Source organism: Homo sapiens, chromosome 22 (genome assembly GCF_000001405.40).
Source record: "Homo sapiens chromosome 22, GRCh38.p14 Primary Assembly".
In the NCBI taxonomy this organism is placed as follows: Eukaryota; Metazoa; Chordata; class Mammalia; order Primates; family Hominidae; genus Homo; species Homo sapiens.
In genome coordinates this window covers 43,608,735-43,635,822 of record NC_000022.11, presented here as the reverse complement: position 1 = coordinate 43,635,822, position 27,088 = coordinate 43,608,735, and the positions used below count along the sequence as shown (strand labels likewise).

General features: G+C 44.7%; 1 protein-coding gene across 22 annotated transcripts in view, besides 1 other annotated feature; it reads left to right on the top strand.

Annotated features, from left to right (window-relative positions):
• EFCAB6 (EF-hand calcium binding domain 6) overlaps window positions 1–27,088 on the top strand; it is a 283,528-nt gene that overhangs the window by 176,483 nt on the left and 79,957 nt on the right. For 19 of the 22 annotated variants that reach the window (XR_007067980.1, XM_047441462.1, XM_011530319.4 and 16 more), the window contains 4 exons: window positions 607–721; window positions 3,585–3,718; window positions 9,144–9,376; window positions 19,901–19,997. Coding sequence is in view for 21 of the 22 variants with exons in the window: in XM_047441462.1 (XP_047297418.1) it covers window positions 607–721; window positions 3,585–3,718; window positions 9,144–9,376; window positions 19,901–19,997 (579 nt within the window). In the remaining variant the exon portion in view is untranslated. Of the gene's footprint in view, window positions 1–606; window positions 722–3,584; window positions 3,719–9,143; window positions 9,377–19,900; window positions 19,998–25,739; window positions 25,915–27,088 lie in introns of those variants that run through there. The other 3 variants (XM_047441463.1, XM_047441464.1, XM_011530330.4) reach the window with 3 other exon arrangements.
• Window positions 467–968: an enhancer, noted in NCBI's record as "H3K4me1 hESC enhancer chr22:44030735-44031236 (GRCh37/hg19 assembly coordinates)". NCBI's record gives its function as "activates a minimal SCP1, AML or CMV promoter by ChIP-STARR-seq in primed H9 embryonic stem cells {active_cell/tissue: H9 hESC(primed)}" and the evidence as "EXISTENCE:reporter gene assay evidence [ECO:0000049][PMID:30033119]".

Genomic DNA, 27,088 nt, shown 5'->3' with positions numbered 1-27,088 from the left:
CTCCCTCTGCCCCCAACATACCCAAAACTGAAACAGTAGGTCATGTGTTTGGAGGGAAGGAATCAGGGATAACTTTCAGCAAGTGGACTAGCATATGGAGAAGAAAAAAGAGCATTCATGGATGGCCACCCCCATTTAAAAAAACACAGCCGCTTTTCATGTAAACTGGGAGCATAATGAAACTTGAATGAAAACTTCAGTTTTCCCTCCTCAAACTACCTTGCTTGCTTTATTTTGTTTTCTTGAATCTATGTGAACATAAACCTAATGTATGAGACTCTAAAGCCATGGCAGTGACAAGTGTGGCTTTGGGTATCTTGGATGGCACGGCTTGGAAAAGTCTGCAGTGGCACCTGTGGGCCTGAGCACCATGCCAACTGTGCCACTTGTCCCTTCGTTCACTCACTCACCCAACAAACACAAGCCTTGTGCAAGGCCCAGGGACACAGGAGACTCGGTCCCACCCCCTGGCAGCCTGTGGGTGGGGTCAGACAAATAACAATCATGAGCCCTGCTGTGAGCCAGCACAGGGGCAGGAGGTGCTCTGGGAGTAGTGACCCGCGGACCACCTAACGCCTCTCCACCCTCCCCTGTCTCCCTCGTCAGGTACTGGAAGACACTGGGATGCCCATGGACGATGATCAGTATGCCCTGCTGACCACTAAAATAGGCTTCGAGAAGGAAGGGATGAGCTATCTTGATTTTGCAGCAGGATTTGAAGGTAGCTAATGGCCAAGTCCACACCCTGTGGGATGCGTCCTGGGTGACACTGCATGTCTTTGCTAGCAGTGCCACCAGGCCACTCGGGTTGAAGTAGCACAAGCTGAGATGTTGAAACGAGGTGTCTTCTGGGGCTGCAAACAACCATTTTTATTTCATTTTATCTGACCATATTCAGAACTGTGAGTGCAGAACTTTGCCTGAAAGAGTCTTCTACAAACTCAGAACACAAATGGTTTAGAAAGTTTGTGCCCCAAAGCCTGTTTCTTCAATCACACCTCACGGCCTTTAAGATTTTCCCCTAAGGTAGTTGCTGGTTATCTGTAGTTAACAATACCACACACAGGCAACACGAATATTATTCCTCCCTGTGGACAGAGAAGGTTGCAGAGATTATAAAAGGCCACCCAGCCCCACCCCCAGGCCCGCCCCCCACCGGATGTTAGGAAACCCATCTTTGTGCAGTGTCCTGGGGCCGCCTCTCCACTCAGTGATGCTGCTTTCTCACACACCAAAGACATTTTGGTGGACAAACAAGCCCTCTAGAGAAGCTGCAGAAATCACACAGATATCTCAATGGAATACTCTTCTCTTTTGCTGCACATACCCTGCAGGCTGGCAGGGTGGAATGCAGGAGCCCTGTGCATTTTTCATTTTCCCAGCCTTGGGTCTGGAGATGACCGTGTGAGGTGGTGAGTTTCCCAGAGACTCAGGCTGGATCCTTGCCAAGGTCCCCCTAGCCTTGTCAGACTGTCATTTGCCACCCCTTAGAGAGGTCCCACACTCCTGAAAAATGGCATCATGAGAAGCCAGAGCGTTTTAGAATTTCAGCACCGTCCCTGGGTAGATGTTTTGATATTTTTTAAGGAAAATAAGAAGGAGAAGGAACTCACCTGCATTTTAGTGAGTGTGTCCCACCTGCCAGGTGTATTCATTTTTCAGGTAAGGAAATTGGGGCCCAGGGTGCATAGGTCACTTGCCCCACGTCCCAGTGCTGGCGAGGCCGTCACAGCTGGAACTGGACTCCGTCTCTGTCACCTGCTCCCGGCTTCCTGGCTGCCTGTGTTCTCCTCCCCTCACTTCCTGCTTCTCCTCTCCCTGCCCGTCTCCTCCTTGCCCCTCTAAGCTGCATTCTCACACATGAAGATTCTAGCAAGGTGGAGAGTGAGGCCCTGTGTGGCCCCTGCTAGGGGTCAGGGGGATGTGGCAGAGGGGTCAGGCGGTGGGGTGGGGGTGTTTATCTGCCAGGCAGTAAGGAACCAGAGGGAGGCCACTTGCAGCCTCTGCAGTGAGGCAGGTGAGGCAGAAGCCAGGCTCAAGAGGGGCAGAGGATGCCCACGAGCTTGGGGCGCCCTGTCCCCCATCCATCTGCCCACCACACCGTGGGGAGGGCGCAGGAGCAACAGGTGCAGAGAACCACGTCTGGAACCAAGTCCCTGGTGTGTAGCCTGGCTTTGACACAAGGTCACACTCAGATGACCCCAGCCTAATGGAAACGGGGTAGACCTGGAAGTTTTTTGTTTGTTTGTTTGTTTTTGTTCCTGTTTTTGATTTTTGAGATGGAGTCTCACTCTGTCACCAGGCTGAAGTGCAGTGGCATGATCTCAGCTCACTGCAACCTCAGCCTCCTGGGTTCAAGTGATTCTCCTGCCTCAGCCTCCCAAGTAGCTGGGGCTACAGGCGTGCACCACCACACCCAGCTAATTTTTGTATTTTTAGTAGAGATGGGGTTTCACCATGTTGGCCAGGATGGTCTCGATCTCTTGACCTTGTGATCCGCCCACCTTGGCCTCCCAAAGTGCTGGGATTACAGGCGTGAGCCAACGTGCCTGGCCGACATGGAGTTTTTAAGGAGAGGTTACACTTCCTTCCTTAATTTTAGGGGAGCGAGAGGGCATAGGCAGTAGGGAACCAACGGGTCTTAGTATCAGACAGCCTGGATTCAGCTGTGCTGTCCATGAGCTCCACCTCCCAGGCGAGCCGGGGACCCCTGAGCCTCACCACCCCCTAGGTAAAGTGCATGGGATGATAGGTTTTCTTGTGTGTAAACAAACACGAGGACCTTCTCCTGAGCGTTGCTGGAAGGACCAAAAAATAGATGAAGCCCTCAGCATCTTACTTAACAGATACACAGTCAGGAAATAGCCACTGAACTAATGGATGTTGAATGAATTCTATATTCTTGTCTTTAGGACATGATTCCAGGAAACAAAAAAGAGGCAGGAATTCTCATTCTCCTCCTCTGGGAATTGGGAGATGAACAAGAGACACAGGACAAGTAAACAGGGTGCCAAGTGCGGTCTGTGAGGGTGAAAGGAGGCCCCACAGTCTGCAGCATGGTTCCTCCTGGAAGAGGAGGAAAGTGTCTGAGAAACTGAAGGAAAAGAAACTAGATAGTAAGAAAATCAATGCTGTGTTCAACTCACAGGAGGGTACTGTATGGGATTTTAACAGGATTCGGGACAGGCAGAGATAAAGTGTTGATGTAGAAATGAAGCCAGTGGGCCGGGTGTGGTGGCTCACGCCTATAATCCCAGCACTTTGGGAGGCTGAGGCGGGCGGATCACCTGAGATCAGGAGTTTGAGACCAGCCTGGCCAACATGATGAAACCCTGTCTGTACCAAAAGTACAAAAATTAGCCAGGCGTGATGGCAGACACCTATAATCCCAGCTACTCAGGAGGCTGAGGCAGGAGACTCGCTTGAACCCAGGAGGTGGAGGTTGCAGTGAGCTGAGATTGCACCACTGCGCTCCAGCCTGGGCAACAAGAGCGAGACTCCGTCTCAAAAAAAAAAAAAAAAAAAAAAGAAGGAATGAAGCTGATGGGCACTAATGGAAACCCCGATCTTTGTAATTGTTCCAGATCCTCCAATGAGAGGGCCGGAAACCACTCCGCCGCAGCCTCCAACTCCTTCAAAAAGTTACGTGAACAGCCACTTTATCACCGCAGAAGAATGCCTGAAGCTTTTCCCTAGGAGGCTGAAGGAGTCATTCCGGGTAAACCGTGACTGTCTGGCGCTGGGCTTCTCTAGGCCTCCCCTGCTCCCAACCACGCAGCCCAAGTGGGTGTGAGTCCTGGTGTAGGTCATGTCCCAGTCAGCCCAAGGGACACAGAGCATTTCCCTCTGCAGACCCAGCATTGGTCAGGGAGAGGCATGTGGGGAGGATGGGGCTTCCTCCCTCCCTGAGGGACCCCCGTGGACACTTTGCTGGCAGAAGGCTAAGGAGACCCTTTTGACAAGAGGTGGATGTTGGTGGAGAAGAAGCATGACAACCCATGGTACAGTGACTTTGAAACGCGTTCATCCATTCCCTCATTGATTCCCTCATCCATTCACCCACCAAACAAGTGTTATACACTTACTATGTGCTAGAATCTGTGCTAAATGCTGGGGATGAAAGCTACCAGCCCCACCCCAGGGAGCTCGGTCTAATCCCAGACACAGATGGTAAACAGACAAGTCATATTCATAGTAATTGGCTGTTGTCGAAGGAACTGGAGCATCCTCTGGAGGCACAAGGAAAAGATCCCTTTAAGGAGGACTCCCTGGAGGAGGTGGCCCCCACACTGAATCGTAAGGCCTAAGCCTGGGCTGGCCAGGAAAGGAGGGAGCCATAGATGAGGCAGCCTGAGCCAGGCCGGGACAGATGAGGCATGGGCTCTGGGGAAAAGCATGTGGCTTGTCGTGGTGGAGGTGTGCGTGGCGCGTGCAAGTTGTAACAGACAAAACAGAAGTAGACAGCAGCCATTCAAACATAGAGGCCAGTACAAGATGATCTGAGCTCTTTTTGTGATGAGAAGTAAAAGAGGGTGAATAAAGTTAGGGCGATCAAGTCAATAAGGCGAACCCCGAGACAGGGCCGAGGGTATCAGGGAGTTAGACTGCATCCTCACCCCGTGGGTGGAGGGAACACATCCAGAGGCAGAATGGAGATGGGTGAAGTCCAGAAGGGAAGGGACGGGCGAGAGACTGGGTATCAGAGCAGCCTGGGGGGCTGTGGGGAGGGCAACACCCCATTTCCTGTGCTCTGAGGCACCTCCCCAGACTGATCACCCCTGGAGATTCATTTTGGTTACCAGGCTCCCGTTTCCACATGCCCGTGTATTTATGACATCAGTCCAGCTTAGACTTTCTAGCAGGGCTCAGATTTTGAACATTCTGTCCAGTTTTCAGAATGTGCATCCTAATTTTTGGTTTGAAAAAATATGATCGCCATATGCATACATGGAGACGGATTGGTCCTAATGATCTCATCCAGGCTAAGTGGCCAGCCAAGAGGAGCACTCTGGGAACCACTGGCCTGTGGGCTCCAGCGTGGAGGAGGCAGGGGTCATTTAAGTGGGGAGTGCCTGGTCCTCCAAAGGAGAGCCGAGCTGGGTGGGAGGCAGCGGCCGCTGCAGGGAGAGAGAGCAGAACGGAGGCAAAGGCTCCAGGAGCAGACTCCCTTCTGTGCTGGTCGGCAGGGCCTCCACGGGCACCCTAACTGTAGAGGCCTGGCAGCTGCCTCACTGCACCTTGCCCATTGCAATGCAGGCCCCTCCCTGTTCCCTCTCTCAGACTCTCTCCTCTCTTCCTCACACACTCCTCGCGTCTCCCAGTGGAGGCCGTGGGAAGCCCAGCTCCACGCTACATCGTTGCTTTCCTATCTTTACGATCAGTGAAGCTTGGCTACAGCCAACGTATATCCTGTGTTTTCCAAAGAGATCTCTATTTTAAATAATGAATTCATTCAACAGACCATCACCGACACCCACTCTATCCCGCCAGAGAATTTATCAACTAGTGGGTGAAACAGAGGAGTGAACCCCTAATTGCCAGTTTTTATGTGAGACAGACTGGATGCGGGTTATGTCCGGGGCTCGTGAGGACTTGGCTTGTGTCCTTGCAGGTATACGCAAAGTGGACAAAGCACGGGTCTCAATTTTTTAATGGGATGGTACAGTCACTTTTTTTGAATTTTTTTGGTAGAGACGAAGTCTTGCTACGTTGCCCAGGCTGGTCTCAGACTCCTGGGCTCAAGCGATCCTCCGACCTCAGCCTCCCAAAGTGCTGGGATTACAGGCATGAGCCACTGTCCCTGGCCTCATATATCTTTTAGAAACAAATAGGATTAACCTGTCAACCCACAAATAGGGTCACAGTACACTCAGTTCTCTGCAACTTCACTTTGCACTTCACAATTCGTCTTGGACTCCTGGCCCTCGCAGGATTGTCTCATCCATGTGCATCTCTGACCGGAGTGCCCACTGTGCTCTCAGGATACATCCTGCTCCCGCCTGGCCGGCCCACAAGACCCCTCACCCCCTCACCCTTTCCTGCCTCTAAGCGTTTGCACATTCTGTTCCTTTGCTTGGATGGCGCCTCCCCTTTGACCAGTGGACTCCTCCCCAAGCTTCTGTCCTTCTCAAGCCCTTCACATCAGCTGAGAGGTTGCCACTGCACATTCCCCTCTCTCCTCACGTCCCTCATAGCACACAGCCCGCAGGGTGCTGCAGTTAGATTCAACAGTGAGCCCCGAGCCATTTCTACATCATTCACCACAGTAACCCAAGGGGCTGCCACAGTGCCTGCCACAATGCACATGACCGATTTGTATTTGCTGATTGAACACACCACACCTGATGCTGGGCAGCGAACTGGAGGGCCACACACAGGGCCTTGTGTGTTCTGACACCCGCAACCACCCTGTCAAGTAGGTTTAATGTTCCCGTGTTATGCTGGATACCCTGAGGGTCAGAGACGGGGAAAAAGTGACACAAAGCCACACCTCTAGTACATGGCACCGTCAGGAACTGAAATAACACCGGCTCGATTCCAAAGCCTCTGTACTACGCACTAACATTGGGGAAGCTGAAGACTGAGATTTGAGGAATGATTAGTTTATAAACTTGTGAAGATTAGCCATGTATGATCTCATAGCATCTAGCTTGTCCCTGGAGTCCAGAATCCAGGCTGGCCCCACCTGGCCCTCACACCTCTGTCCCTGCAGTAATCACGCTGGATTGCCATGATTTGCTTCCTGTCTTGCTTCCCTAGTAGATAGACAGTGAGGACCTGGGTGTCAGGGCCCACGTTGCAGTTATGGTGTCTGTGTACCCAGCAGAGTGCTTTGTGCCTAGGAAATGCTGCTCCTTCATGTCCAGCAGCCCCATCTCACAGACGTTATGGTGAGCATGGCTCGGAGAGCTGGAGCTGCAACAGGGAACAGATCAGAGCCCAGACTCATGCTTATGTTCTAGGGGGAAGTGCAGTGGACACAGAAACCTCTACTAGATCAGGTGGTGACATGTGCCAAAGAGAAAAGTAGAGGATCGTGGGAGGCCAGTCAGGGCTGGTGCCATTGTACAGAGGAGTCAGGAAGTGCCTCTCTGGAGAGGGGACACTCAGACACAGTCATGAAGGAGCCAGAGTGAGCCCTGCGGACACTGGAGAGGGCTCCCTGCGATACCCTGAAGCAGGCTCGGCCTGTTCAGAGAACAGTGAGGGGACGGGTGGGATGGGGGTGTAGACAGGCTTGTGGGCCACGGCCAGGCCTTGGCCTTGGACTCTGAGTGAGAAGGAGAGTCAAGGGGGTTGAGCAGAGGCGCCTCATGCATGACGTCAGCTGTAAGGGATCGCTCGGGAGCGATTGCACAGAGCAGAGGCCACGGAGCCGACGATGGCAGCTGGGAGCCATCACGAGGTTCCTGCAGGACTCCAGCGACCTTGGGTGGGGGCCGAGGTGGTGTGCCTGGGAGAGGGGGTCCAGTGCTAATGCACTCTGAAGGGAGAGCCAGCGGGATGTGTGGGCAGACTGGATGTGGGTGTGAGAGGAAGCGAGGGCTCAGAAGGGCTCCCAGGTTTGTGTCTGAGCAACCAGGAGGAAAGAGCTCCACTTACTGAGATGGGAAGACTTAGGAGGAGTAGGGTGGGGACAGGGGGTGGAGGTCAGGAGTTTGATTTGGGCCATGTTCAGTTTGACATCCCAGAGAAAATGCCCCCAGACCACTGGAGATGTGAGGCTGTGGGTCAGGGGGGTGGCGGCTTGGGGCTGAGAGTATAGAGGGAATCATCAAGAAACAGATGGGCCTGCACCCCAGGAGGCCCCCTCGGGCAGAGTTAGACATCAGCCTCCCTGCCACACTGTATTGTCTTCCGGAGGCAGGGGCGGCATCTTTTAAATTCATTTCCACAGTATTTAGCATGGCGATTGCACATATTAGGTACTGAATAATTTTTGGTGAATGAATACATGAGTGAATACAGAGAGAGCTTTCCACAAAATCCCCACACACTTGCATGAGGAACTTGAGTCACAGCAGGTCTTGCTTGATATCCTAAGTAACCTCTGTGGGAGGAGCCTGTAACAAGAGGGGACAAGCGCAATGCCGCCAGAGCAGCCAGGTAACTCCTAGGTGAGGGGCTGCATCAGGTGCCGATGGAACGAGGCGGGTTGGGGCCACATCAACTTTTCAGGCCTGAGACCCGGGAAGCAGGTGCATGTGGGAAACAGGCATTGGCCCCGGGCAGAGCCTTGCACTTGCTGTATGATCCTAGGCAAATGGCAAGTGCAACAAACAGCATTTTAGAATGCCAGGAAAGCCAGGCTCGTTCTAAGCACTTTGCATCATTAGCAAATTCACTCCTCACAAACAACCCAAGGACGCAGGGACTGTCATAGTCCCCATTTTACAGATGAGAAAACAGAAGCATCACAAGGTTATCTCACCCATGGTCACGTTGCTAGTAAGTGGCAGAGCTGGGGTTTGCCACTGAGCCACCTGCCTGCAGAGTGCACGCTCCATCACACATCAGGGTCTCTAGTCACGGATTCCCTGGGAACCCTGAGCCTCTGTTTCCTCATCTGCAAAATAGGAATCCCTGTGCCCTCCAACCAGCACGATGGGCTGAGTGGAAGTCCTTCAGTTGTGGCAGGCTTGTGGATCCCAGACACGGCTGATCTCTATCACGGTCATCGAAACAGAGGCCTGGCCTTCAGGTGGCTCCTTGGTGTGAGATTCAGTGCAGTATTTGTTTGGCTGTAGACAGAAGCAGCCAGACATTATGAAAGTGATATAAAAAATTGCGAGCAGAAACCTCCAGTACTTTCTCCTTCCCTTCCTTCCTGGACTAGAAGTACAAGCTCCACAAACCGAGAGTGTGGAAGGAAAAGAAAAGTGGCCTGTTCCTTTCCCTGAACTCTTTGCATTCAAAGAGGATCATTTATATCCCCTGGGTAGCTGGAGAGCTTTATAATTTCTTGGGAAAAGCAAAGCATGGCAAGGATATTCCTGGAACAGCCAAGTCTCTAAAAGCAATAGTTGGGGCCCAGCCAAGCTGCCCCTCCTCGCGTGGAGATGAGGCTCTACACGTGGGGGTGTGCATGTGTGGCCGTCCGGGGCTCTTGGGGAAGGGCTTTGACGTGTGTGTTTTGTTTTTAGGACCCCTACTCTGCCTTCTTTAAAACAGATGCTGACAGGGATGGCATAATCAACATGCATGACCTTCACAGACTGCTCCTGCATCTACTGCTTAATCTCAAAGACGACGAGTTTGAGCGCTTCCTTGGCCTTCTTGGCTTGAGACTTAGTGTCACTTTAAATTTTCGGGAATTTCAAAATTTGTGTGAGAAGAGACCATGGAGAACAGATGAAGCGCCTCAAAGACTCATTAGGTAAGAAGGCAGCACGGGTCTGTGTCTTTAATATATGCCGGCCCGTGCCACTGTGACGTCCAGCATTTCCATGGCGTCCGCAAAGGGATACAAAGAATGGAGTGATTATTTTTTTCTTTTTCTTGGTTCAGAAAAAGTCATACAAGAAATATGCACTCAGTGTAGAACAACCAGAAAATACAGCCCTGGTCTTACCACCTGTGAGCATCATTTTTATATTTTGCTGGGTATCATTTCAGTCTTTTTTCATATGCATATACTTACATACGTGTGTGTGACACACATATATAAATATATACATATATACGTGTGTGTCTTTTTCATATACATATACTTACATATATATTCATGTGTGTATGAAAATATATATATACACACATACATATATATACACACATACATACATATACTTATTTTTCTATGTATTAATCTGGGTTCAAAAATATATGCTTTTTGCTCAGTCTTTTAAAATTGAAGCTTGGGAGACCTGTGAGCACAGCCTGTCCTCTGTCCAAGGCTGGGCCCGTCCTCTGCAGGGGCAGGCGGAGGGCCGTGCACCAACTCTGTGCAGATAAATCTTTGTCAAGTGAACACAGTAACCTTCTTCTTCGGGAACTGATGCCTCCTACCTCCTCTTCACCTCCAAATGTTAAGCTAGGTGATGGCTGTGAATTTGGGGAATGCAGACCGTCTTGTAGTAATTGATGGGCACTGAGAAGCTATCTGTGCCAACTGCCTTAGGAGATGCAAGAACCTCCTCCAGCCCCTCCCCGGGCAGTGCTGCCCCCTAGGCCCCTGCCCAGCCCATATGGCGTCACTCTTAGCCAGGAGAATCTCAGTGTCCAGCTGAGCTCCGGCTCAGTGCTGTTTCCTTGGCCTTCTCCCAGGGAGCACGTACACTCCTTGAAGGCACAATGGGGCTACCATCCAACCCCATCCAACAGTGGCAGCAGGGGATCACCCGTCCCCATCGGCTCCCTGCTGAGATCTGCCGAGAGCCGACATGAATGAAGTAGCAAGTCATCTCCTCCTTGACCAATTATTATTACATGAGTAATTCTGAAATGCTGTGCGCTATGCTAGTACTGAGGTGTGTCTTCCCATGTGATGATACAGCATCATAGTGACACTCACTATGCTGTTTTGTCCTTGAGGCACTCACGGTCCCCAGGGGTTCTAGACAGGTATCGCATCTACCTAGGCAAGGGCAGCTCCCTGAGAGTGGAGCCCCTGGAAGCCACAGCCACTGTGCCAGACTGTTGTGACACTTGGCTAGGCTGCAGAAGGCCCTCTGATCTTACACGCTGATTTTTCTCCCTGAATTCATAGGTTTTATTTTGTCTATATTAAAAAAATAAAAAAGCAAGCAAGAAAGAAAATGATGATAGCAAAATGATCATCTAACATGTAAGTTGGACACCTGCTTCCAACGGCTCAGGTTCTCAGGAGCTTTAATATGAGACTTGATTGCCTAACATTAAAACAAACAAACAAAATTCTTCCCAAAAAATTCTCTGGAGAAAGTTCATTTTCCATTCTCTGCCGAACGAACATGGAAAATTTCAACCGCAAAGTGCAGTTTTCCCATTCAGATGACTCAACCTTATTATTGTATGTATACACTCATTCATCAAATATTTACTAAGGGCCTACTATATGCTAGACATTGTCCCAGGACTAGACGGTACAACAGTGAATAAGACCCAGATGCTCCTTTTGAGGGGCTCAGGGTCGAGTATGAGACAGGTATGAAATAGATGACCCAAGTGCCACAGGAACAGAGGGAGGCGCCCGTGAGTTGCTCAGGAAAAGGAGGGACGTTTGAGCTGGACCTTGAAGTTTGAGTAAGAGTTTGCCAGGTGCAGGCTAGAGGAAAGGTCATTCCAGGCCAGGGAAGAGCATTTGCGAGATCACAGAGGCAGGCGGGAGTGTTAAGCACGTTTGGGAAATGGGGAGAGGATGCATGTGTGGGATCCACCTGCATGGTGGGCCTGGTTGGGGAGGAGGCCAGGAGGGCAGGAGGGCGGGCTGTGAAGGACGTCACCTTCTATCAGTAGGCAGGGGAGGCCGTATGCTATGGAGTGAGGGAGTTACACTGTGCTTTAGAAAGATCCTTCTGTACCCTGGAGTGGAGGATGGACACAAAGGAGGAGAGGCTGCAGCCCAGTGAGAACTGACTTGGTCCCCGGGGTCTGGTGGACCCAAACCAAAGCACTGCTTCAGAAAGCTAAGCCCACCCTGGCCATGCCCTGTGTTGTGTTTCCTGAAGACATGTCCTTTAATACCCCAGCAGCCTTGAAAGGAGGCATTCCCAGCTGGTTTCACAGATGAAGGAGTGCGGGCTCAGAGAACAGTTAGTGACATGTCCATAAGGACACAGATAATGAGCAGTGGGGCAGGGATTTGAGCTCAGGAGTCTGTTGGGAGGGGCCACCTCCTCTGCCTGGACAGCCTGCCCTGTTCCACCTCCACCACCAAGCAGACCTGGATACCACCCCTTTCTTTTTCTTTTTTCTTTTTTTTCTTTTTTTTTTTTTTGAGAAGGAGTCTCGCTCTGTCACCCAGACTGGAGTACAGTGGCGGAATCTCGGCTCACTGCAAGCTCCATCTCCCAGGTTCACGCCATTCTCCTGCCTCAGCCTCCCAAGTAGCTGGGACTACAGGCGCCCACCACAATGCCCGGCTAATTTTTTTTTTTTTTTTTTTTGTATTTTTAGTAGAGACGGGGTTTCACTATGTTAGCCAGGATGGTCTCGATCTCCTGACCTCGTGATACGCCCACCTTGGCCTCCCAAAGTGCTGGGATTACAGGCGTGAGCCACCGCGCCTGGCCGGATACCACCCCTTTCTAAAAGTCTTCCTGCCCTCTTGGTTGGGCCCCTCTGCTCTCTGGGTCTTCACTTTCCACCTGTATCATAAAAACACAATACTTTGGAAAATGTTGAGAGTTCATAACTTTGCTGAAAAGAGGACACTCTCTTGTTTGCTTCATAACTGCCAAACATTTTCATTTTAAGGTATATAAATACCAAGTAGAATGACTGATCCAATGACTTATTCCTTTTTTTTCTACTTCTTCGATTCCCTTCCAGTCCTTGTTTAAAACACACTTGCCTTGACCATTTATCCACTTACAGCCTGCATGGAGTACATTTTAATGCACAAACATCTTAAAAGATGAAAGAATATTCTCATGTGTCCTTTTAGCAAAATTAGATAGTCCATCACCAAATACTGCATGATCAGATCCTTCCTGTTGGATGACTAACTGAATGAAAATACCAAATTTCCTTTTTTATCCTTAGAAATATATCATTCAGTCATCAAGCGCTTCAGCTGATACGATCAGTGTCACCATCATCTTTGGAATCTAGAGTGCTGTTCTGTCTCTATGCCTTCCTCTTCTGAATCATCTCATCATTGTGAAATCTCTTCCTTTCTCAAATTTTCTTGCCTTAGCCATTTGGGCATAAAGAAGGAATTCTGAATTTCCAGCTGCATTCAGTGAAATCTAACACAACACCCCGAGCATGGTGTCGTTGTCTTCTTTTATACATTCTTGAGAAATACTGTAGAACTTTGGGCACTGCCGCAAGAAAACTGAAGGGTGATGTCCTAGTGGTGTTTCATTTCAACATTATCTCATCCTGCCAGGTGATTCTATCATTTTGGTCTTGTTGTTATCTCTCTCTCTCTCTCTTTTTTAGCACAGTTAGGAAGAGTTGAAGAGTAATAATGAAATATTGTTTAGGATAATATATTATTTAGGTTAGATATAGTAAGATTAAAATCAACATCGCTAAGACCACATAACAAATGGATCCAGATAATAATTGCAAAATAGAATGAGTTTGTTTGTTTTTGTTTGCTTGTTTGTTTTGAGATGGAGTTTCGCTCTTGTCACCCGGGCTGGAGTGCAATGGTGCCATCTCAGCTCACTGCAACCTCCGCCTCCCAGGTTCAAGCGATTCTCCTGCCTCAGACTCCCAAGTAACTGGAACTACAGGTGCACACCACCATGCCCAGCTAATTTTTTGTATTTTTAGTAGAGACAAGGTTTCACCATGTTGGCCAGGCTGGTATCGAACTCCTGACCTCAAGTGGTCCACCCACCTTGGCCTCCTGAAGTGCTGGGATTACAGACGTGAGCCACTGCATGCCAGAATGAGCTTTATTTTATAAAGAAAATAAGTGATTTATTTTGTAAGACATCTAAGAATAATAAAAGTCATGAATACCAGCCCTGATTTTGGTATCATGGCACTGCTAGCTTCATAAAATGAACTGGGAGTATTCCTTTCTATTCTATTTTCTGGATTGTATGGAATGGTTATTCTTCCTTAGATATTTCATTAAATTAACCAGTGAAATCATCAAGTCCTGGAATGTCCTTTGTTGGAAGGCTTGTACCTATAAATCCAGTTAATTTAATAGTTATTGGATTATTCAGAGTTTCTATTTCATCTCAAGTGAGTTTTGCTAATTTGCATCTTTCAAAATATTGGTCATCAAGGTTGTCAAATTCATGGAATTAATATGGTTCATGGTGTTCTTTTAATTTTTTTAAAGTATCTGTGAAGTATTTAGTGAGATTCCTTATTTCATTTATCACTTTCATAGTTGATCTCTTTTCTCCTTTCTTCTTCATCAATTCAGCTAAGGCTTCCCACTTTCACAGATCTTTTAAAAGAACTAGCTTTTGTTTTTATTGATTTTTCTCTATTTTTCTGATTTCAATTTTATTGATTTTTGGTCTTTATTATTTCCTTCTTTCTGCTTGTTTTGGATTCAGTTTATCTTTTATATTTCTTAAATTGGAAACTCATAGTTTTTATTTGAGTCATTTTTTCTCTCATATAAGCCGTTAATGTAATGTATTTCCCCGTAGGCACTGATTTAGCTGCATTTCACAAATTTGGATATGTTGTAGTTTTAATTTTTATTCATTTTCAAATTATTTTCTAATTTCCCTTAAGACTTCCTCTTGGATCCATGGATTATTTAGAAGTGTGTTGTTTAATTTCAAAATATTTGCATCATGTTCAGGCCAGGTACAGTGGCTCATGCCTGTAATCCCAGCACTTTGGGAGGCTGAGGTGGGCGGATCACTTGAGATCAGGAGTTCAAGACCAGCCTAGTCAGCATGGCAAAACCCCGTCTCTACTAAAGATACAATAAATAAATAAATAAATCAGCCAGGTGTGGTGGTGGGTGCCTGTAATTTCAGCTACTCAGGAGGCTGAGACAGGAGAATTGCTTGAACCTGGGAGGTGGATGTTGCAGTGAGCCGAGATCGCACCACTGCACTCCAGCCTGGGTGACAGAGTGAGACTCTGTCTCAAAAAAAAAAAAAAAAATTGCATAGTGTTTAAATATTGTTCTTTTATTGATTCTAGTTTAATTCTGTTGTGGTCAGAGAACATATCTTGTGTGATATTAATTCTTTTCAATTAGTTAAGGTTTGTTTTATGACCCTGGATATGGTCTGTCTTGGTAAATATTCTGTGTATACTTGAAAAGAATGTGTATTCTGGTGCTGTTGGGTGGAGTGTTCTGTAAATGTCAGATCAAGTTGGTTATTAGTGTTGTTCAGGCCTTCTATATTCTTCATTATTTTCTATCTCCTTATTCTATCAGTTACTAAGAGAGGAGTGTTAAAGTCTCCAGCAATAGTTTTGAATTTGTCTATTTCTTTTTCTAATACTATTAATTTATGCTTCATGTATTTGAAACTCTGAGAAAAAAAATTGTGTATTATAATTTCCTAGGTATTTACCATTTCTGTTGCTATTCCTCTCTTTCTGAAGTTCTAAGTTTCTCTCAGCTATCATTCTTCTTCCCCTGAAGAACTTCCTATAGGACATCTTTTAGAGCAGGTCTGTTGGAGACAAATTGTCTTAGTTTTCTTCAATTTATAATATCTTTATTCTTTATTCTTGAAAGATATTTTTGCTGGATATAGAGTTTGGGGTTGACATTCCTTTTGTTTCAGCACTTTAAAAATGTTGTTCCATGGTCTTCTGGCCTCCATAATCTGTGGCAAGAAGTATGCAAGTATTCCGTTTTCTCATATTTAATATGCCTTTTTTCCCAGGCTTCTTTTCTTTTCTTTTCTTTTTTCTTTTCTTTTCTTTTTTTAACTAGCTCTCTCACTCTGTCACCCAGACTGGAGCGTGGTGGTGCGATCACAGCTCACTGCAGCCTTGACCTCCCAGGTCCAAGTGATCCACCTCAGCCTCCCAAGTAGCTGCAATCACAGGTGAGCACCATCATGCCTAAATTTTTATTTTTTCTAGAGACAGGGTCTTGCCATGTTGCCCATGCTGGTCTCGAACTCCTGAGTTCAAGCAATCCTCCCATCTCAGCCTCCCAAAGGGCTTGGATCACAGGCATGAGCCATTGCGCCAGACCATTCAGGCTACTTTAGAGATGATTTTTTTGATCTTTAGTTTTTCAGACAATTGATTATAATTTATGATTTGATTTGTTTGACCATGGGTTTTTTGGTGGTTTTTGTTTGTTTTGTCTTTGTTTATCTATTTTTGGATTTACTGAGCTTCTTAAATGTGTAAATTTATGTTTTATGCCAAATTTATGGCATTTTCAGCTATTATTTTTAAAAATGCTTTTTCTGTACCCATCTTTTTCTTCTCCTTTTGGTACCTCAATGACATGAAGCTTAGACCTTTTGGTTTTGTATCACAGGTTTTGTATCTCTGAGACTATGTTATTTTTATTTTCTCTTTTGTTCAGTTTGAGAGATTTCTGTTCGTGAGTTTTCAACTTTGCTGACTCCTCTGTCATTCCATTTTGCCATTGACCCAATCCAGTAAACGTCATTTCAGTTACTGTATTTTGGTTATTTCCTTTTTCCTTCTTCTTTCTTTCAAGTATGTTTGCTCTTCATGAATATAATAGCTGCTTTACAATCTGATAATTTCAACATCTAGTTAATCTTGGGGTTGGTGTCTGTTGTCTTTTACATTGAGCATTATGGAGATTTTTCTGGTATTTTATATCACTTTGGACTGTATCTTAGATATTTTAAGTGTTTTATTATGACACTCTGATTTTGTTAAAATCCTCTGTAGTGTGTTGATTGTTTTTGGTCATTATTTTAGCAGGCAATCAGCCTAGTTAGTTTTAGACTGCAAGTCCTAACGTGCCTTCTGTGGTTTTAATGTCAATTTTGTTTTCAAAGTCATTGCAGCGCTCTTCAGGGAAACCCACGTGTGCACCACCTAGAAGTCAGTCTTAACTACACAGTAATCATGTTCTCAAAGCTGGTTGCTATGCTGCTTGGGGTCAGTTCCACACCTTTACACATCAGAGATGAACCTGGAACTTCCTGCACAGATGTCCTTTCTTCTAGCTCTCTCTTCTCTATGATCTCCCCCACACTCTGTAGCCCCCAAGGGCTACTTTTCTGGGTCTTCTGGCTAGAAAATCTTAGGTTTTAGCCTATCTGTGCTGCTCCGCATGTCTCATGGTGAGGGCCACCTTCAGGGCCCTAGTGAGAGAAGAAAAAAAAAAAAAGAGAGAGAGAAAATTAACATGGATTTCCCAATATTCCTTGAATCACAGGGCCCCTTTTCCCATTTTTTCTGGTTAGAGAAAATTTTAACGTTTTGGCCACTGCTATCGTTGGCACCATTACAAAAGTGCAGTCTCAGAATTGGGCTGGGAGAGTAAACAGAGACAAAAACAGGAATTCCTGCCACTCTGTCCCGAAGAGGCCCTCCATCCTATCCTAGCTCTTTGGTCAGAAAGTCAGCCTTTCTTTTGGACCTTTTTCTGTTCACATCTGCTGCACAGTTCCAGAATTAGGACTGCTCTTGACTCTTAAGCTGGGAACATGGGAGGAAAGCCCCATGAAACTCATAACTTTGTCATTCTTCGAATTTTGATTTCTCCCTCCATCAGCCTTCTATTATTTACCTCAGATAGTTGTGTTTTGTATTCTGTGTAGGATTTTGGGTTGTCATAAGAAGGAGAGAAAGGGTGAAGTGTGCCTACTCCATCTTAACTGGGACCGGAAGCACCTCTCAAGACCCTCATACTGCCTGGAGTGTGTTCCCTGAGGTCTTCATGCGGCTGTCAAAGAGCCACTCCCTGGTCTTCCTGACGAAGTCTCCCCTGCCCCATCATTCTTGGTCCCATGCAGTATCTGAAGTTATCCGAGTCACTTTTCTTTCTTTCTCTTTCTCTCTCTTTCTTTCTTTCTCTTTCTTTCTTTCTTTCTTTCTTTCTTTCTTTCTTTCTTTCTTTCTTTCTTTCTTTCCTTCCTTCCTTCCTTCCTTCCTCCTCTCTGTCTCTTTCTTTTTTTTTTTTGAGATTTTTTTTTTGAGATGGAGTCTCACTCTGTCACCCAGGCTGGAGTACAGTGGCACAATCTCAGCTCACTGCAACCTCCGCCTCCCAGATTCCAGTGATTCTCCTGTCTCAGTCTCCCAAGTAGCTGGGATTATAGGCGTGCACCACCACACCCAGTTGATTTTTGTATTTTTAGTAGAGACGGGGTTTCACCATGTTGGCCAGGCTGGTCTCAAACTCCTGACCTCGTGATCTGCCCACCTCGGCCTCACAAAGTGCTGGGATTACAGGCGTGAGCCACTGCACCCAGCCGAGTCACTTGTTTTTCTTGTGTGTTTGTTCTAAGTTTCTCCATCACAGTGTAAGCTCCTTGGGAATGTGGACTCTGTCCACATTGCTAGTCATTGTGTCTGCAGGTTCTAGAGCAGCACATAGTGACTATTCCTATGTATCTGTGACTAACGAGCTGACTGATAGGAAGGAAGGCTGGATCTGACTGATTGTCAAGATTTAACAAGCTGGGCAATAGGAGAGGAATTAAGTAACCACCAGAAAACCTCCTGATCTCTCAAGAGGGCCAAGTATGTAAAATGAGGAAGGGGAAAATGGATGGAAAATCAGTAGGATTCATTGGTTTGCTCATGGATAACTAAGGAAATAATCAAGCCTTATATTCTAGAAAAGAAATCAGGGTGTGAAAAGTAGGGGGCATAGGGCTGTTTGGATATGTGTTTAGACCATGAGATCAACTGGGATCTACTGACTTTGCTGAGATAGCACATGCCCCTCAGGGGCTCTCTGACAGCACTTTGGGGAGGTTCAGGTGAGTCCTCTGGTGCAGGTGGAATTTAGGAGGAGTCTAAAAGTGAAGGCAGGGAAATAGACATCATTAGGACTTACAGTCCTTTTAAGCAAAAATTGTAAAAATGCAACGTAATTCCATCAATTTTCCAAAGCTTGCATGGTCAAGTAGTCATAGGGGATTGGCTGGTTGAACTTTGGATCCCTTTCCACCCTCGAAATTCCATGATTCTGCAGAGTCCGGTAGGCAGTTGGAGAAAGATGGCACAGAAAAGCAGGTGAGGTTGTAGTACCAGTGGTGCAGACTTATGGGCAAGCAGCATCAAGGCTGTAGTTGGGGACATCAGAAGAGATGACCTCTCAGAAGAGAGTGGAGAGAGACAGCACAGTCAAGGGCAGCGGGAGTCAGGTGAAGAAGGAAAATCACAGTGACTGCAGTTTACACTGGCCAGGTGCCAATGTGGGTGTGCACATGGACTTTACACATTTTCCTCCATTCCTAATTTGTTCTAGTGCGTGGAAAGATCTAGGGCATCCCAGCCCCTCCAGCCTCAGCCTTTACTGTGCTTTACTGTGGCCTAGCAGGGACCTGTGAGCAAAGGGTCTTTTTTTAAGTGTCCATCCTGTGAGTAAATATGATAGAATTTTGATCATTTTTATTTATTTTTGAGATGGAGTCTCGTGCTCTCCCCCAGGCTGGAGTGCAATGGCACGAATCTCAGCTCACTGCAACCTCCGCCTCCCAGGTTCAAGCAATGCTCCTGCCTCAGCCTCTTGAGTAGCTGGGATTACAGGCACGTTTCTACCATGTCCAGCTAATTTTTGTATTTTTAGTAGAGACGGGGTTTCACCATGGTGGCCAGCCTGATCTCGAAGTCCTGACCTCAAGTCATCCACCCGCCTTGGCCTCCCAAAGTGCTGGGATTACAGGCGTGAGCCACTGCACCCGGCCCTATCTTTAAATCCTACAAGCCTCACCTTGGAAAATGAGCTGAGACTGAGAAGTTCCCCCAATGTTTCTCAACCATTTCCTGTAGTCTCCATTATCTCTCCAACTTGCAAATTCAGAAATAAAAGTTTTTAGCTGTTTTCCTCCCAAGACACTTAATGTTATATTGTGTTTTCCCCCTTCTGAGAATAAATGAGCCCTGTTTGTTTTGTGTGCTGAAAAGAAAAAAGTTGAATAGCATTTATCTGAAAATAAACAAGGACTTACAAAATTTAAGAAGACTTCCCTGACATGCAGCTGGAGAAATAAGACTGTATTTTAAGAATTAAGTTAAACCAGAAGTGAAATAACAGACTTTAATGGTATCCTTGAAACAAACAGGGGGGATAGGGAAACCCCTTGGGAGATTAATGAGCCCATTAAATTTAAACACAGTTATTTATTATTTTTTTTCTTTTAAGACCAAAACAGAAGGTTGCGGATTCAGAACTAGCTTGTGAGCAGGCTCATCAGTATCTTGTTACCAAAGCAAAAAACAGATGGTCAGACTTGTCTAAGGTAAGAAAATGATTATTTCCTTAAAAGGAAAGAAAATCTATTTCAATGTTTCAAGATCACTGGGATGATGAAGCTGTTCAGATCCAGACGCTAAGATGGGAAAACAACTCTGTGTACCCAGTGTGAGGACTCCTGCTATTCTTAAAAGACTTTTTCAAACTAAATTCTCACATTCAAGGTCAAGTGAGGTTTAGAAAGATAAGGAATTGTTGGAGTTACATGGACCAAAATTCCTGGCATTACTTCAGGCTGGATATGAATTAAAAATTTATTTGGTTGGTGCAAAAGTCATCGCAGTTTTAGCCATTACTTTAACGGAAAAACTGCAATACTTTTGCACCAACCTAATACATGAAAAATATAAGATGCTGTTGTACTTAATTTTATACAATATAAACATACATTTTAAAGAGCTGTTTCTTCCTGTCTTGCCAAAATTATAGAAGCACATTTACAGGGTGGATACCCTCCACGTGCAATCCTGTGAACTGTGATTATGGTATTGAGATGGGGCTGTCTAATCCAGCAGGGCCAATGACAGCCAGACCTACAAGATAATAGAACTGCATGTGCAAAACCGAGTTTGTCCTGAAATCTAGGCTGGAGATCACCACTTTATAATGCAACAAGAATGCAATAGCTTCCCTCTAATAAGTATTTTTTAAACTGCATTATGGAAATATTTTCACATTATTTTGAAAAATACCTCCACTTTGTTTCACTTGGTCATTTTCTTTCTGTGTGTGCTCTTTCTTGGCCTGTGCCCAGTGTGAAAAGAATTTTGTCTTTGAAGTCCTGCTAACCTCCAGGGACTGTCTCTACCCAACCTCCTGTCCTGCACAGAGTGGACTGTCTGTGCTGTGGACTCCATAGAGTGGACTGTCTGTGCTGTGGACTCCATAGAGTGGACTGTCTGTGCTGTGGACTCCATAGAGTGGACTGTCTGTGCTGTGGACTCCATAAAGCAGACTGTCTGTGCTGTGGACTCCACAGACAGGACTTGCTGCACTGTGGACTCTATAGAGTGGACTGTCTGTGCTGTGGGCTGCATAAAGTGGACTGTCTGTGCTGTGAACTCCATAGAGTCAACTGTCTGTATTGTGTACTCTATGGAGTGGACTGTCTGCGCTGGCCCACACCAACCAATCCCACAGACTGGAGCTCTGTGTGGCCCACTTTCAGAGCAGCCCTCTAGGTTCAGGGTAAGGAAAGGGTCGGGACTAGAACCTTTCATGGATTGTATCTAACAAGTCACTGCCAAACTCAAGGTCATCTAAATTTTCTCTTATGCCGTCTTACGAGAGTTTCATAGTTTTGTATTTTATAATTAGGTTTGTGATCCATTTGAGTTAATTTTTGTGGAGGGTATAAGGTCTGTGTGTCTAGATTCATTTATTTAAAGGTGGATGTCCAGTTGTTCCAGCACCATTTATTGAAAAGACTGTCTTTGCTTTGTTGAGTTGCCTTTGCCCCTTTGTCAAGGGTATGTTGATTATGTGGGTCTGTTTCTGGACTCTCTATTGTGTTCCATTGGTCTACTTGTCTTTTCTTTAACCAGTACTACTGTCATGATTACTGTAGCCTTATAGTAAATCTTGGCCATCAGGTAGTGTCAGTTCTCCAAGTTTGTTCTTTTTTTTTTTTTTTTGCAGTATTGTGTTGGCTATTCTGAGTCTTTGCATCTAGAATAAGTTTATGGATCTCTACCAAACAATTTGCTGGGATTGTGATTTGGATTGAATTGAACCTATATTTGATGCTATTGAGCCTTCCTATCCATAAACATGGAATGTCTCTATTTAGGTTTTGCAAACATTAAACATTTCTCGTCAGAGTTTTGTAGTTTTCATTATATAGCTCTTGCATATAAGAGCTCTTGCAAATAAGACCAGGCTGGTTTGGAATTCCTGGCTTCAAGTGGTCCTCCTACCTCAGCCTCCCAAGTAGCTGGGATAACAGGTGCATACCACCATTCCTGGCTAATATTTTATTAGATTTATACCTAAATATTTCATTTTGGGGGGTGCTAATGTAAATGGTATTGTAGTTTTCTTTAACTTTTATTTTAGGTTCAGGGATATGTGTGCAGGTTTATTATATAAGTAAATTCATGCCGTGGCGGTTTGTTATACAGATTATTTCGTCACCCAGGTACTAAGCTTAATACCCAATAGTTATCTTTCCAAATCCTCCCCCTCCTTTCCCCCTCCACCCTCAAGTAGGTCTCAGTGCCTGTTGTTCCCTTCTTTGTGTCCATGTGTTCTCATCATTTAGCTCCCACTTGTAAGTGAGAACATGCAGAATTTGGTTTTCTGTTCCTGCATTAATTTTCAAAGGATGTTAGCCTCCAGCTCCATTCATGTTCCTGCAAAGGACATGATCTTATTCTTTTGTATGACTTTGTAGTATTCTATGATGTATATATTCCACAGTTTCTTTATCCAGTCTACCGTTCATGGGCATTTAGGTTGATTCCATGTCTTCACTATCATGAATAGTGCTGCAGTGAACATACCCGTGCATGTATCTTTATATTTGTGTTATATAAATATATGATATGAATATATTTGCTGTATAAATATATGATATGAATATATTTATGTAACAAATATATTTCTATAACAAATATATTAATATATATGTTATATAAATAAATTATATAAAATATTTATATATGATATTTATATATTTATGTTATATAAATATATTTATATTTATATATTTAGAATGATTTATATTTCTTTGGGCATATACCCAGTAATGGGATTGCTGGGTCGAATGGTAGTTCTGTTTTTAGCTCTTTGAGGAATTGCCACACTGCTTTCCACAATGGTTGGACTAATTTACACTCCCACCAACAGTATATAAGCGTTCCCTTTTCTCTGCAACTTTACAGCATCTGTTTTTTTTTACTTTTTTTTTTTTTTTAATTGAGATGGAGTCTCACTCTGTCTGCCAGGCTGGAGTGCAGTGGCATGATCTAGGCTCACTGCAACCTCCGCCGCCCAGGTTAAAGTGATCCTCATGCCTCAGCCTCCTGAGTAGCTCGGACTACAGGTGCATGCCACCATGCCTGGCTAATTTTTTTGTATTTTTAGTAGAGACAGGGTTTCATCATGTTGGCCAGGCTGGTCTCGAACTCCTGACCTCAGGGGATCCACCCGCCTTGGCCTCCCAAAGTGCTGGAATTACAGGTGTGAGCCACCACACCTGGCCGACTTTTTAGTGATAGCCATTCTGACTGGTGTGAGATGGTATCTCATTGTGGTTTTGATTTGCATTTCTCTAGTGATCACTGATGAGCTTTTTTTCATATGATTGTTGGCCACATGTATTTCTTCTTTTGAAAAGTATCTGTTCATGTCCTTTGCCCACTTTTCAATGGGGTTGTTTAAGTTCCGTATAGATGCTGGATGTTAGACCTTTGTTAGATGCATAGTTTGCAAATTTTCCTCACATTCTGTAGGTTGTCTCTTTATTGATAGTTTTGCTGTGCAGAAGCTGTCAAATCTAATTAGATCCCATTTGTCAATTTTTTCTTTCGTCATGAAATATTTCTCAGTTCCTATGTCCAGAATGGTATTGCTTAGGTTGTCTTCCAGGGTTTTTATAGTTTTTAGTTTGACGTTTAAGTCTTTTATTCATCTTGAGTTTATTTTCTGTTATAAGGAAGGGGTATTTGTTATAAGGAAGGGGCCCAGTTTCAATCTTCTGCATATGGTTAGCCAGTTATCCCAGCACCATTTATTGAATAGGGGAATCCTTTCTCCATTGCTGGGTTTTGTCAGCTTTGTTGAAGATCAGATGGTTGTAGGTGTGCAGTCTTATTTCTGGGCTCTCTATTCTATTCCACTGGTCTATGTGTCTGTTTTTGTACCAGTACCATACTGTTTGGTTACTGTAGTCCTGTAGTATACTTTAATTGGGTAACTTGATGCCTCTAGCTTTATTCATTTTGCTTAGGATTGCCTTGGCTATTTAGACTCTTTTTGGTTCCATATGAATTTTATTTTATTTTATTTTATTTTGAGACAGGGTCTCACTCTGTCACCCAGGCTGGAGTGCAGTGGTGTGATCTTGGCTCACTGTAACCTCAGCCTACCAGGCTCAAGCCATTCTCCCACCTCAGCCTCCCAAATAGCTGGGACCACAGACATGTGCCACCACACTCAGCTAATTTTTGGTATTTTTTGTGGAGATAGGGTTTCGCCATGTTTCCCAGACTTGTCTTGAACTCCTGGGCTCAAGCGATCTGCCTACCTCAGCCTCCCAAGGTTCTGGGATTATAGGTGTGAGCCACCACGCCTAGTCCCATATGAATTTAAAAACAGCTTTTTCTAGCTCTACGAAGAATGCCATTGGTAGTTCAACAGGAATAGCATTGAATCTCTAAATTGCTTTGGACAGTATGGTCATTTTAATGATATTGATTATCCCAATCCATGAGCATGGAATGTTTTTCCATTTGTTTGTGTCATCACTGATATCTTTGAGCAGTGTTTTGTAATTCTTATTGTAGAAAACTTTCACTTCCATGATTAGCTATATTCCAAGGTATTTTGTTCTTTTTGTGGCAATTGTGAATGGGATTACATTCCTAATTTTGCTGTCAGTTTGAGACCATGCTGTCCAAAGCAATTTACAGGTTCAATGCTATGACTGGTGAACTATCAATGACATTATCTCTCATGAGAGATGATGGTGTGTAGTTTTCTTTACTTGTAATATCTTTGTCTGGTTTTGGTATTAGGGCAATACTGGTCTCATAGAATAAGTTAGGAATTATTCCCTCCACTTCTATCTTTCTGACATAAGTTCCTGTAAAGTTTTCTGCTTATGGGTGTCTGTCCCAGTAAATTGTGATTCTCTGTATTCACCTGTCTGTCTCTCCAGTTTTGGGGACAGTGATTTGGCCTGTAACTTCACTTGTCTTATGATTTAAAAAGAGTTGTTGATTTTCCAATTTGTTCAGATTTTTACTTGTTGTTGGGACAGTGGTAACTTCCAAGTTTCTTACATGCCAGACCTGCTACGTGTTTTTAAAGGGACTCTGAAATCCTACAGACTCAATTTTTTTTAAAGCATAATTTTTTTTTAAGTTATGACTCTACAATGAAGTATATAAAATACATATGTATAGTTTAAATAAGTTTAAAGTAGTCAGCATGTAACCACCATTCAGGTGAAGGAAAAGAATATTGCCAATATCTTAGACCAGGAGCCAGCACACTTTTTCTGTAAAGGCCCAGATAGTAAATATTTTTGATTTTCTGTCAAAACTGCTCAACCCTGTAGCACTTGGTACCATCAGACTTCCTAGTTTTTTCCACTCTAGTGGATATGTAATAGTATCTCATTGCAGATTTGATTGGCATTTTGTTTGTTATTAGTGAGATTGAGTATATTCACTTGGTCATTTATTGGTCAGGTTTCCTTGATTGTGAAGTGCTTGCTCGAGACTTTAAGTCTTCCTACTGGTTTGTCTTTTTCTCATTGGTCAACAGAAACTGTGACGATGGTCATAGTATACACTGCTCTGTGGATCCTGCTGTTTTGTAAGTGACGTGTGGTGCAACTATCATCTCTCAGTGTGTATTATGTGTTCTTACCTTTTTTATATGATGTCTTTTGATAAATATAAGTTCTTTTTAATGTAGTCAAATTTACTAACATCTCTCTGTAGATCTTGTTTAAGAATTCTACTCTGGAGTCATGAAGATGTTCTCTCACACTCTCTTACAGGAGCTTGACAGTTTCAACTTTCACATTCAGGTCTTGAAATCTGGACTAGATGTTTCCCAAGTGTGGTGAGGCAGGGACCCAGTCTCATTTCCTCCATATGGAAGTCCAGCTGTCCCAGCACTGGTCATTGTGAAGTCCCCCTTCCCCTGGCCGATCTGAGCATCACCACTGCCTACATCACAGCCCGTGGGTATTACTGACCTCCTCATTCTGTTCCCCTGATCAGCTTGCCTGTGCTGGCACCTACATCACATCTTTGTTGTCGTGATAACTTAGTGATACATCTTAATTAATTGGTAGGCAACTCCCTCTACCTTGTTCTTCAAGAGTTTTGAATCGCTTTGTCGAGTTCCACAAAGAAAATGACACCTTTACTATTATATTTGAGTTTTCTAATTCATGAACACAGTGTCTCTCCATTTATTTTGATCTTCTTCAATATCTTTCAGTAAAGTTTTATACTTTTCTGTATAAAGGATGTCTCAGATATCACAGATTTATTCCTAGGCCTTTCTATTTTTGATTCCTTTTGTAAATGTTATCTTTTAAAATTTCACTTTCTGTGTCTGATATGTAAAAACTGTGATTGATTTTGCCTGTTGACATAGAATCCAGACTGCTTGCTAAATTCACCTCTTATAATAATTTATTTGTGGATTCTTTGTATTCCTGTGTATACAGTCATGTCAGTGAATAATAATAATTGTATTTCTTCCTGTCCTATCGTTACACCTTTTATCCTTTTTCTTGCCTGATTAAACGGGCTGAGACCCCGCAGTACAATGTAGAATAGCGGGTGATGAAGATATTCTCACTTTGTTCCTGATCTTAGGGGGAATGTTTTGTTCTTTCACTATTAAGTATCATACTTGCAGAGAACTCTGTAGATGTACCCGTTATATCCACCTCATCATGTTGTTATGAAGAAGATTAAATGAGCTATTACTTGGAAACAACTAAAGACATTGCTGAGAACCACACGTGTTAGCTTATTCAAGTCTGTGGTCCTCTTATATGCCTGACAATACCTTCTGTACCCATCAGGGCCATAAAAATGGTACCATATAATCTTGTCATAATAGCTGGAGTCTAATGTCCCTCATTTCCCCTCTTACAGCCAGAGGGCTAAAACCAAACCATCATTGAGATGAGGATCCTCCATCTCATTTCCTGGGCTCTGGTTGGCCCTTATTTCTAATCATTTTTGAACCCAAGTTGTTGATCAGGAGAAGAATCCAGGTCAAACCCCTGAGGCAACTCAGAAACCACCCCCTTCCGACCCCTAATTCTCATTTCCGTTTTGCTCTATCACTTTCTTTCCAGGAATGATGAGGATACCTGGAACGTAG